The sequence below is a fragment of the Homo sapiens genome, chromosome 11 (assembly GCF_000001405.40).
Source record: "Homo sapiens chromosome 11, GRCh38.p14 Primary Assembly".
NCBI lineage: Eukaryota > Metazoa > Chordata > Mammalia > Primates > Hominidae > Homo > Homo sapiens.
This window is the reverse complement of record NC_000011.10, coordinates 33,340,316-33,352,996: the sequence shown is the minus strand read 5'-3', so window position 1 is coordinate 33,352,996 and position 12,681 is coordinate 33,340,316. Positions and strand designations below refer to the sequence as shown.

Sequence of the window (12,681 nt, the reverse complement as noted above, 5' to 3'; positions counted from 1 at the left end):
GATAACTCATAGTGGATCTCTCAGAACTAACTTATACTAAGAATAACTAGAGGAGAGAAAAATATCAATTCCATATATATTAGTATTAACATTTTAGTATTTATTACTACATATTATTATAATATAAACACTGCTATTACTGCTGCTAGTACTACCTATTACTATCCCCATCACTACTAACAGCTACCATTTGTGGAGCACTTCTTATATGTAAAGCTAACATTTACATACACAATGTTATTTACTTCTAAAACAACCCATGATATAATTACGATTCCCATTAACTGTGCTCCAAATCAGATTTGTTGAAAAGACCTGGCCAAGGTAATATATATATATAGTACATGGCAAAACCAAGATTTGAATCCCCGTCCAACTCCAGTATCTGTGATCTTTTCTTTTCCCAACTGAAACACAACCGCCAAATATAGTGTTGAATAAGATGGAAAGTATTCAGGAAGGTTAATGATGTTCTGAGATAACAGACACACTCTGTTAATATTATGTAAGAGAACCTAAGGACTTAATCTTTCTGAAAAAGGCTACAAGTTCTATGGATAATTTGCTTAATTATCCTATTATTAAGCCAGTTACTCTTTAGCCACTTGGGATAATGAGAAGGGAAAAATTCATTAACACTACATACAGTTTCAGAAGCTTTCTCCTCCACGTGAAAAACAACTGCTAAATTTGAATCCCACAGACTCCTACATATCCACAAATGAACATACCTGACTGAAGTTCAAATGCTGCTGCTGGAATGCTGATGTCAATTTTTGCTGACGAGTACCCACTGCAGAAGGCTGGTTTAATCTTCCAGGGGCAGATCGTCCTTTTATTAATGGCTGGCATATAGAATCTGGCGACGAATAAAATATTAAAGAGTTTATGCTTTTTCCTTTTCAAATAAAAAATTAGCAAAGTCTTTAGATATTTTACACAATAGTGATTTGAGAGCCTTAAAATTAAATAAAATCAAAGGAGAGGTCATGGTTTCCAAGCACTGGATAATACTAGAAGATTTCCTCTGTACAATACATAAGGCAGGGTCAAGTCAAAATTCAGAGATGACTTTGGCAACTGCATTCTCAGATTTTCCTAAATTAAGACCGTATTTAAAGGACAACCAGAGAAATGGGAGGACTCAACTTACCTGTGTTTGCCATATGCTCATCGGCATTTAAGCCATTTTCTAGTTCCACTGGTGGCACCACAACAGAACAGACAGCTGGCTTGGTTTCTGTGTCAGCAGAGGATACCAATTCTGTGTTTTCATGAGTGTCCTCCACAAAAGTGCTCTCTGCAAATGGACTGTCATGCCCGGAAGAGTCAGATGTCGGAGAGCCATCCACCGTATCACAACTACTTTCTTGCTCTTCATCTGACATACTACAAAAAGAAAGCATTTTTTATGAGTGATATTTTTTTCCAACATTAAATCTAATGTTAAGTAATATTCAGGCTCCAGTGAACTGATGAGAACATTATTCAGTTATTTTATATATAATTACACCTTTTTCCTTGTCCAATAGCACTTTTTCATAAAATTTCTAGACCCTTAAATTAATTCTCTGTTCCAACTGCCAAACCTAATTCTGTTCCATTTCAGGAACATCATTTTGGCATTTTTTTTTTCTTCTTTCCCTTCCCATTTGATCCTTAGTAGCAGCTCATAAAATTCCTCTTTATAAATTCCAGATAATTTCATCAAGACATGACAAAAGAGGCACTGCTCTGGATAATTTAAATGAAATATACAAACATATATGTATGTGACTTGGCTATTTCAAATTAAATTCTAACATCAGGATATGTGCCTCTGCTGGTAATTTGGGTCCTTGTACCTAACCAGGTATCTGAAAGGTATCCCCACACCTCTGAAGGCCTAGACAGAGCCCCATATTTCTCATCTCTTCCTGACACTCTTGGGCCCTGACAATCTCTCTCTCCTTGGGATTTCTACAGCATTTATTGTCTGTTTCAACCACTCATTCCATACTTACTTACGAATTTGAAGCATCTCTTTTTATACATATTTTTATTTATATATCTTATACGTATATTTGTTTATATATATTTTACATGTGAATGTATAGTTATGTACATTATCAATTTTCAAACCATATTATAAGCAACTTTTAAGAAGATACATTAAAATTTCCTTATATTTTCCATAGAGCTTTGGCTATAAGAATGCAATATCATATTTCCTAAGGAAAAAGATGTGTAAAATTAAAACTTAAAATTTTTCAAATGTTTGTTGCCACTAAAATAAGACTTTATTTCTTTCTTTCCTTCCCCTCCTTCCTTCCTTCCTTTCTAAGAGATAGGGTCTTACTCTGTTGCCCAGGCTATAGTGCAGTGGTGTGATCATAGCTCACTGCAGCCTCAAATTACAGGGCTCAAATAATCCTCCTGCCTCAGCCTCCTGAGTAGCTAGCACTACAGGCATGCAACACCACATCCTGCTTTTTTTTTTTTTTTTAATTTTTGGTAGAGGCGGGGTCTCACTATGTTGTCCAGGCTGGTCTCGAACTCTTGGCCTCAAGTGATCCTCCTGCCTTGGCCTCCCAAAGTGCTGGGATTACAAGTGTTGGCCACTGTGCCTAGACTGTGGCTTATCTCTCAATGCGTTAGTAAATCATTCTGCTTAGGACAAGCTTACTATCTTAGCAGTGGTACATGTCGCTGGCCAAAGGATGGGTAAGCCAGGTTAATATGGATAAAACCATGCAAATCAGTCACCAATGGGAGAAAAAAATCATAGTGGATGTCCTGTAGACAGTGGGCCAGTGAGTACTTCATTATGCAAAACATTCCTTTTTAATTTTGCTAAAGTATATGTTTTTATTCCAAATTTAAGTTACAATAGTAGTCTGTGGGGCTGAAATTAAGAATGTGGCTTTTTTATCCTTTCAAAAATAGATTATTTGGCTGGATGTGGTGGCTCACGCCTGTAATCCTAGCATTTTGGGAGGCTGAGGCAGGCAGATCACCTGAGGTAAGGAGTTCAAGACCAGCATGTCCTGGTGAAACCCCATCTCTACTAAAAATACAAAAAATTAGCCAGGTGTGGTGGCAGGTTCCTGTAGTCCCAGCTACATGGGAGGCTGAGGCAGGAGACTCACTTGAACCTGGGGAGGCGGAGGCTGCGGTGAGCCAAGATCACACCATTGCACTCCAGCCTAGGTGACAGAGCCACACTTCATCTCCTCCCACCCGCCCCTCAGCAAAAAAAGATTATTTAGTTAGGTATGGTGGCTCATGCCTGTAATCCCAGCACTTTGGGAGGCCAAGGTGGGAGCACTGGTTGAGCCCAGGAGTTCAAGACCAGCCTGTGCAACAGGGCAAGATCCCATCTCTACAAAAAAAACTTAAAAATTAGCCGAGCATCGCTGTGCGCACCTGTGGTCCCAGCTACTCAAGAGGCTAAGGCAAGAGGATTGCTTGAGCCTGGGAGGCAGAGGTTGCTGTGAGCCGAGATCATGCCACTGCATTCCAGCCTGGGCAACAAAGCAAGACCCTGTCTCAAAAACAAACAAACAAACAAACAAACCTGTGTTTATAAAAACTGATCTAGTTCAAAAATTGTGTTCAAGATAGAAGTCACTGTGGTAAACTGGCAGGTACTTATTAAACAACAGAAAGAAATCGTAGGCTTTTTAGTAGACTTACTATTTATTACACACTACTATTGAGATTCTTTTACCTATTCGGTCTCTTGCAGGGGGATGGGCTGGACTGCCCTGAGGAGCTGGTACTCAGAGTACTATCAGGACTACTTAATGAACACATCCGATCAATATTCAAAGTGCTCTGGCAAGCTTCACAATCTAGACTACCTTTACATCTAGTGGAAGAGAAAAGGGAAAAACATGAGTCAAATACAAGAAGATACTCTCCAAATAGCCAAAATTTATATTCTTTAATTAAGGATATGAAACTGTTAAGAATGACCTACATGGACAAAAAGTTAAAGCTTACAGATACAAGGAAAATGCTATAATAATCGTGCTAAATGTTATTTAGAAAGTTCCCTGTCTAGAACTGGGTTATCTAATTTAAAGGTTTTACTCCAGAGTACATTGACAAACAAGAAATAAGTCACAGAAAGTTGTTTTTCGGCACACCAAAGGATGCCATCTATATCCTTTGAGGATGCAGCGTTTGGCACTTACTCTCTGAGTGAATGTCTCTGGGAAGTCTCTTCCTCATCAGTGTCACTGCTGATAGTGATGACACTCACTGCAGGACTCGGGGAGTCGGCAATAATGATGGTTTGCCGCTGTTTGTCTGAAACTGATGAATCAGAGTCCTGTCTGATAGATGTTTCACAGCAATTTCTTGCCTCTCCTTCTGAGTTCTGATTGTCCTGTGTTTCTATACAACTTACTTCCTCGACATCTTTCCCATTAATTATCTTTGGAGAAATAAATGCTGAATGTGGGATATTGGTATTCTGTAATGAATTACTCCTGCAACCAAAGGAATAATTTATAATTTCTATAATCAAAATATGTATAATCAATTGTCTAAGGTATCTTGTTAAACCAGAAAATGAGAACCTTCACTTGTTCGAGTTCATGAATATAACACACTAACAGATCTTGAGTTTTTGTGAAATATAAAATAGCTCTAGAAATATCCATGTAGACTGCATTTACATACATTTAAATAGTTGCTTTTTGGTAAATGTGCTATCTGAATGTCCACAATTGCTACATTACAGGTAGATAATAAATCAAAAGGGCAATAAAGACAATCTTACCAACTGAAAGCATTTATTTCCTCTCTTCCTGGCTCCCATTCCATTAGTTTTACCAAAATACCTCTGAGAAATTGAGAAGGGAGCTGGCTTAGTGTTTGTAACAAAGCTATAAAAGAGGTCATTTTGAATACAACAGAGTGACCCTTTAGAGTACATGCAAAATTCATTTAAAAGATTCTCAAAATGCAGAGGAAAGCTAAAGCACCAATACCAACCTGTTCTGGCACTGTTTATTTTTCTTGGTAGTGGCAGGCTGAGGCCAGACAACATGTGCAATCCCCACACTAACTGGCTGAGGGGCAGATAAAGTTATCTGATTGGTCAGAAGAGGCTGCGGCATCACTGAGTTATAATGATTGCTGCATGAAATCATCTTCCTAGGGAGAAGTTCAGAACAATGTTTTTAATCAAGATCTTTCTTTAATCAAGATCTAGTCTGCAAACTATTCACAAAGTACTTTTGTTTTCAGCTTACCCCCAGTCTCCAAGCCTGTGTGAACCAGCCACACTCTCAGAAGTTAGTGTAGTAGTAGCAGGAGCCAGGGGTGTCACCTGTTGCCAGGCAGGCACCAGCATCTGCTGTGTTCTACCAGACCACGTCTGCTTGCAGCAAAGCAAAACAATAGAAAATAACAAGTTATAAGTAATTGAACTTTACCATATCTTAAACTCAAAACTATCTAAAAGTAACAGCTAACAATTATAAACATTAAAGTCCATAACCTACAAAATGGATTAAATCCCTATCCAGGTCATTTTCACTATTTCCCAAAAGCACAAGCTGATATATGGCAAAGAATGAATTATTACCAACCTGAGAAAGAACTCCTGGTCGGATCTGTAGTGGCTGCACAGCTGGGGCCTGAGTTACAAGTGGAACTGTATTATCTACCCTTATTGAATAACTGGTGGGTTTACCATGTGTTGCAGGAATACCTGTGAAACAGAATAGTTATCAAATAAAAGAAAAAATCTTCCTCTTATTTAACTTATACAATTATTTTAAATGTCAAGAATTGCTTAGATTCTGACAGATTTTTTTTTTTTTTGAGACAGGGCCTCGCTCTGTTGCCCAGACTGGAGCACAGTGGCATGATCCATACTGTGGCCTCAACCTCCTGGACTCAAGTGGATCCTCCCACCTCAACCTCTTGAGCAGCTGGGACCACAGGCATATACCATGCCCAGCTAATCTCTTTAATTTTTGGTAGAGACAGGGTCTATGTTGCTCAGGCTGGTCTTGCACTCCTGGGCTCAAGAGATCCTCCTACCTCGGCCTCCCAAATTTCTGGTATCACAGGCATGAGCCACCACACCCAGCCCTGATTGTGGAGTTATGATACCATTCTCTGCATAAAATTTTCATAACACTAACAGAGCAATCTAGTAGCAAAATGAGGTACTTCTTGTCTACTTTGTGATATACATCATTCCAAAAATTATCATAAAGCTTCCCTTTCTGTTTCAAAATGCATACTACAAAGTTGAACGATTTAATTTTCTTGAAACTTCTCATCTCCGAAGTTTGCTATTGAAGCTTTATTTTCCTTTTTAAATAGTTCAGTCACCATGATAAAGAACATGGAAAGAAGAATCTGGCTTAGTATGCTGACAACCTAGCAGGTGAAGGTTCTTCTTTTCATACAAACTTTTAGCTATGCTTAGTTATCTTCTTCTTTAAAACTGTGATAGAATCTTATGCTCCTGTCACCAAAACAGAAATACATCACAACTTCATAATTTAATGGACATAATGGTTCACATAATGGATGAAAATTCCGGGATGGCACACTCATTTCAACCTCCAAAGGAAAGGCAAAACTAACCTATTTACCAATTTGATGATAAAACTAAGGTTTCCGCAATGTGGCTTAATTGACTAGTATTCTTAGCAGAGAGCTGAAACTCCAGAACAAACATGCTACCATTTTGCTTGCCCACTAGGAAAATTAGAAAGCAGGATTACCAGACATGTTAATCCTGTTAATGTTACTATAATGTTAATATAGCTGTTTTCACTGCAAAGCACCTTGCAAATATTAAGTCTTATAATATTGAACTCTGAGAGAGCAAAGTAGTATCACATTCCAGCTTAAAGTTTTGACAAGATTTTAGGGACATCCCCGAAGATCAGAAAGTACATTAATGAAAATCATTTCAGCACTTCATAATTCCAGTTTATTGCAGCAGTTACTTTCAACATGGGCTTGCAAATTATTTAAATATAATATAATCAATTTGGGGATAAATGTGATGTTGAGTGTTTCTCTTCAGGCATAAGAGAAAAATACTACAATTGTTTTCTTTCTCTATTGTAAAACAACCTCAAATTTTCTATTTCACAGATGTAAGTGTTAATCCTAAAGAGAATGTCCATTTCAGCCTGTTTATTTTCTTCACTGAGACTGTTACCTTACTACCATACCAGGGTATTCTACTCTCTGTGCTCCACCTAAAGAGCCAGGTATGAGTCAAGTTTAATAAAAATCTTCTTACTCCTGCTAAAAAGCCTGTCTTGATCATCCAATTCTCCAAGACATGGAATATAAGCACACCCAGGCAGTGTAGATATATTGCAATATATAGACAATCTCTTCAAGAAAAAAAAAATCTCTTCACTTTGACAAGGATGAACAGAGAGAGCAAATTTCCAAATCTGAACAAAAATCTCATTGTCTGTAAATTCTCTCCACAAGCAATGCCTTAAGATGAGAAGAATTCTCCTATATACCCTCTCCACAGGAGATCTAATTTTTGATCAGATTCAACAGTGGGATAAGATCTTAATTTTTGTATAGTTAGTTATTAGGTTAGCTGAAACTTTATCTTTGATTATATTTGCTTTAATACTTGGAAGACAAGACATAAAAAGCTTATGAATATTATTTTAGTATAACAGAAGAGAATTTTGCTGGAATATATTTTACTCTAATATAGTAGTTGTCATCTAGAGGGGATGAATACCTAACTTTTCAGGTCACTAAATAATTTTAAAAGCTTGTTTAATATATAAAACACTCAGATGTTAAATAAAAGCTTAGCTGATTTTTAAAAATAAACTGACTTTTTAAAATAAGCACAGTCTTATGGATATAGTATTTATATACCTATACCTACATATTATAATATCTAAAATATATTAAATGCATTACTTAAACATGATAGCTCCAAAGTAAAATTTTTAAGTCAAAGGGATAAAGTTTATTTTAAAATACAAACCACAATGGTACCATAATTACTATCTCAAATAGCTGCCCAATAATTATTTTTAAATGTTTCTTGTAAATGGATTGACACATTCTGAAGGGAAAGGGTAAATGAAGGGGAGGGGCAAGAAGCCCAATGCTGAAATTTTCTACATTACAATTTCTATATAACATCTACCCGTTAGATACTAAGACTGTAGAGGGAGTGCTTTCATTTCTAAGGCAGACACTCTACTAAGAAGAGAAACAACATACTTACAGAGCCTGCCTGGCCTGTTGCTGCAACTGCACCTGTTATAAAAGCTAAAACATACTGTGCTTCTTCTCACTAGTAATTCTAATTCAAAAGTGCTGTTCATGACATTTAATGGGTTAATGAGTCTGTGACAGTAATTCTTTTCCTTCGATTATCCCATATTGTAAACCACTGATATAGTTGTTACTTTATGTACAGAAAGGTTTCTAACTTTTCATCAATTATAAGCCATATAAAAAGATAAAAGATTTTTCTAACCTCATTGAAATGTTTTAAGAATTATGCTCAATGCTGTTTAGAAATGTGTCTCCGAAGTCTCTTTAAGTTTTTGCCAAAGAAGCTAGGCTCTGAAAAAAAACCTGCTATTCTAAATCTTCGTGAAATATACCACAGTATAAGTGGTGACCCTCAAACTGATTTTGGTACATGGGAGGGATTACTAGAACCAAATAACCTACTTGTTAGTACAGATTATAAATTTAAGTGAAAATGCATTTGTCAAGATAACACAAGTAATAACTGATTAAAAAAAATTTTTAAACAGCAATCTTGCATGCTGAAGTATTTAGAAGTAGTGTCATAAAATCTACCATTTAATTTCAAATAGTACATGTATGTGCACTGTAGGTAGGTAGGTAGATTGATAATGCAAATATGGTAAAATAGTAACACCTGTTGAATCTAGGGTAGAAAACATATTATTCTTTCAATTTTTCTGTATGTTTGAAATTCCTATAATAAACACTTGGGGGAAAAAACTGAAAAACACAACAGCATTATATTGTTAGCATCTATTATTCCTAACACTACAATGATGTGGGCATTTTTATTACCAGAAAGTAATAAAAATGTCACTGTTACAGATACTCACAGACCACCACTGTGGCCACTGGGCCACAATTTCACCTTCAGAATCAACCATCTAAGTTGCCCTTTTATTATACTTTCTATGATATAAATCCTTCTCCCAATGATACATTACTTGAAAATCCAATATATAAAAACAATGAAAATAAAGCTACCCCGATAGAACAACAGTAACTAAAGATCTGACCTGTTTTCACATCTCTTATTACCAGCAAATCAAGTCAACAAACATATTCTTGGTTTTTTATTTGGTACTGAGGTAAATATTAAAATAAAAAAAGTTTTAGAGTTGCTTGAATGCTTAAAATTAAAAAATCAGAGGCTGGGCGCAGCGGCTAATGACTGTAATCCCAGCACTATGAGAGGCTGAGGCAGGCAGATCACTTGAGGTCAGGAGTTCGAGACCAGCCTGGCCAACATGGTGAAACCCTGTACATACTAAAAATACAAAAATTAGCCAGGAGTGGTGGTGCATACCTGTAACCCCAGCTACTTGGGAGGCTGAGGCATGAGAATCACCTGAACTCAGGAGGTGGAGGTGCAGTGAGCCAAGATCGTGCTACCACACTCTAGCCTGGGCAACAGAGCAAGACACTATCTCAAAAAAAGACACACACACACACACACACACACACACACACACACACACACAAAATCAAATAATCCTTCAGAATCAAAATATATTAGAGTTAGAAATGGCCAATATATTATCTATTCAGGCTATTTCCTTCTACTAAGGCTGAAATAAGTAAACAGGCTAGCCTACAATGATACAGCAAACAGGAGAAACAGAATTAGATTCCAGGTGTCCTGACTCAGCACCAACTGTTTTCATTTACTCTGTACAGTATCACCACTAAGTTGGACATGTTGGTTTAGGGCCCCATCTGTAATTGACCTCTTGCATTAACTAGATGTTAAAGCTTAGCAAGGACAAAATCCCAGGAAAGGACTTAGGAAGTAGGGTTTTAGTCCAGTTATTCCAGTAGTGAGGTTTGCTGCTATGATTCCCTAGAAACCACTAAGAGATTTCCTAGTTTAAGAATGTATAGCCAGCCAGGTATGGTGGCTCACCCCTGTAATCCCAACATTTTGGGAGGCCGAGGCAGGTGGATCACCTGAGGTCAGGAGTTCAAGACCAACATGGAAAAACCCCGTCTCTACTAAAAATACAAAATTAGCCAGGCGTGGTGGCGCATGCCTGTAATCCCAGCTTCCCAGCTACTCGGGAGGCTAAGGCAGAATTGCTTGAACCCGGGAGGCGGAGGCTGCAGGTTGCAGTGCGCCGAGATAGTGCCATTGCACTCCTGCCTGGGCAACAAGAGTGAAACTCTGTCTCAAAAAAAAAAAAAAAAAAGAATGTATAGCCTCTTCAAAGGTATTCTGTCACCCATTCCGCTTGAGGATTTAATTGGCTATTTTTATTTAATGAAGGGACATTAATGTAATTGAAATCAATCCATTATTTATTACCTAAGCTATCAATAAAGACTATAATATTTTGGGACAAAACTCTTTTGACCAAAATTTTAAATAACTGAGCTCTCAGTCACTTTTATGTTTAGTATTGGTAGCTAAATGTCTAAAACAGTGATACCCAGTATAGGCCAACCTGTAGCCCAAGTTCATTCATTCCTATTAAGGTATTTTATCATGCTAGACTCTACAGGAAATACAGTTATCATATGACCCATTTTGTTAGTGATGACTGTAACGGAGTTCCAGTCAAGAAATGAGTGTCACTGGTCTGAAGGCTTATTGAACAGCTTAAATTTTTTTTTTTTTTTTTTTTTTTTTGAGACAGAGTCTCACTCTGTCGCCCAGGCTAGAGCGCAGTGGCGCAATCTCGGCTCTCTGCAACCTCCACTTTCCAGCTTCAACCTCCATTTCCCAGCTTCAGCCTCCCGAGTAGCTGGGACTACAGGCACGCACCACCATACCCAGCTAATTTTTTGTATTTTTAGGAAAGCTGAGGTTTCACCATGTTGGCCAGGCTGGTCTCAAACTCCTGGCCTCAAGTGATCCGCCTACCTCAGCCTCCCAAAGTGCTGGGATTACAGGCGTGAAACACCACACTTGGCCTGAACAGCTTAAATTCAAATGTAGCACTAAATGCAGCAAAAATTATACAATATATTTAATGAACAGATTCCTAAACTTATTTTAAAATAAAGCATGCCTAGATTCAAAGCAAAATTTAAATAAAATAATACCTTGAATAGCTGGGGGACAGATAATCAATGTCTGCTGAAAAGCATCACCACAACCAAACTGAGCAGTTCCTGCCTGCAGAGGTATTCCATGGTGCACAACTGAATGAGCAGATGTGGTCAATGCCTGAAACAACGAGCACATTATATAGAGCAGTCTTCTAAATGAAATATACACGCTGTATAAATAGAATTCAAACACATTTCTTAAGATCATAATTCTACTATTAAAATGTGTCCAGAAAATGAGAACAAAAACAAGCTGCCGAAATTAAAATTTAAAAACCGATTCTACTGACCTCTACTTTTGGTAGAGTTGTGGCATAGAAGGGCAGGTGAAAGGTATTGAGAGAATGAAGAGAGGAATGGCAAAAAGTGAATCGGAGTAGATATGTTCCAATTATTACCTTGGAATTTTAAGAGATTTGGTAAAAACAGGTATAGTAAGACCTCACAGCACTGTACATTCTAACAACTGACACCAAACTTCTGTATATATCAAAAGTAAAATGCGCAATCATTAAAAAAAGACCCTAAGTTATTAATTACTACACATTCTTACCTGACTTCTTAATGTTCCGATTTTAGTAAAATTTGCAGTCAGTGTAGCAGTACTGCTTGAAGCAACTGGTCTTAAAAGTGAAGTTTTGTTGTGATTATTTGTGTCACATGAATTTAGGTGGGACTTACAAATATCCATAATATGAAAACAGGACTTTACACTGTAAAAGAAAAAGTGAAGGTATTACAGTATTATTTTAAAAGCTTAGTTTTAAATTGAGGTACATTGACAAAATAAAAAAATTATTCCTAAAAGAAAAAAATCCTAATTTGCACTTAATCTGCTTATTTCCAATAGTATTTCTAACAGGAAATCTTACCAGAAAAGATTAAGTTTCAGAGCAAGTAAAAGTATATATTCTGCAATATTTTTCTTAAAACAGTAAAACCACAGTAAGCATTTTTTGGTTAGCATGCAATAATTTTACGATCCCCTACACGAAAAACTTTTTCCGAAATTTCGAGATCTCCACACCACTAAATTAACAGTACCAAAGAGTTGCTATCATGTTACTTTCAAAGTGACTGTATATGAAAAACATTAGGACATTTTAAGTGTTTGAGGGGAAAATGTAACTGGGCTGTAGAAAAACGTAATTTTTAAGAACAATTCACAATGATAAATATTGGATTCATTCCCATGCCTTCTTCATTTTGTCTTTTTAAATACTGAAGGAAGCCATTTTAAGTCACTTAAATTTACTCCCTTCATCTCCCAAAATATGTCTGAGGTTCAAAGAATTTGTAAGATTTGGCCAGGTGCAGTGGCACACACCTATAGTCCCAGCACTTTGGGAGGCCAAGGTGGGTGGA

The 12,681-nt window shown here is 37.0% G+C and overlaps 1 protein-coding gene across 7 annotated transcripts in view; it reads right to left on the bottom strand.

Moving 5' to 3' along the window:
- Window positions 1-12,681, bottom strand: part of HIPK3 (homeodomain interacting protein kinase 3) — a 100,352-nt gene that overhangs the window by 4,027 nt on the left and 83,644 nt on the right. For 4 of the 7 annotated variants that reach the window (NM_001278163.2, NM_001048200.3, NM_001278162.2 and 1 more), the window contains exons 7-15: window positions 11,870-12,029; window positions 11,311-11,434; window positions 5,583-5,704; window positions 5,244-5,368; window positions 4,984-5,145; window positions 4,179-4,475; window positions 3,710-3,850; window positions 1,154-1,389; window positions 732-859 (exon numbers count right to left, since the gene is read on the bottom strand). In NM_001278163.2, the coding sequence (NP_001265092.1) occupies window positions 732-859; window positions 1,154-1,389; window positions 3,710-3,850; window positions 4,179-4,475; window positions 4,984-5,145; window positions 5,244-5,368; window positions 5,583-5,704; window positions 11,311-11,434; window positions 11,870-12,029 (1,495 nt within the window). Of the gene's footprint in view, window positions 1-731; window positions 860-1,153; window positions 1,390-3,709; window positions 3,851-4,178; window positions 4,476-4,768; window positions 4,832-4,983; window positions 5,146-5,243; window positions 5,369-5,582; window positions 5,705-11,310; window positions 11,435-11,869; window positions 12,030-12,681 lie in introns of all 7 variants that reach the window. The other 3 variants (NM_005734.5, XM_047426223.1, XM_047426225.1) reach the window with 1 other exon arrangement.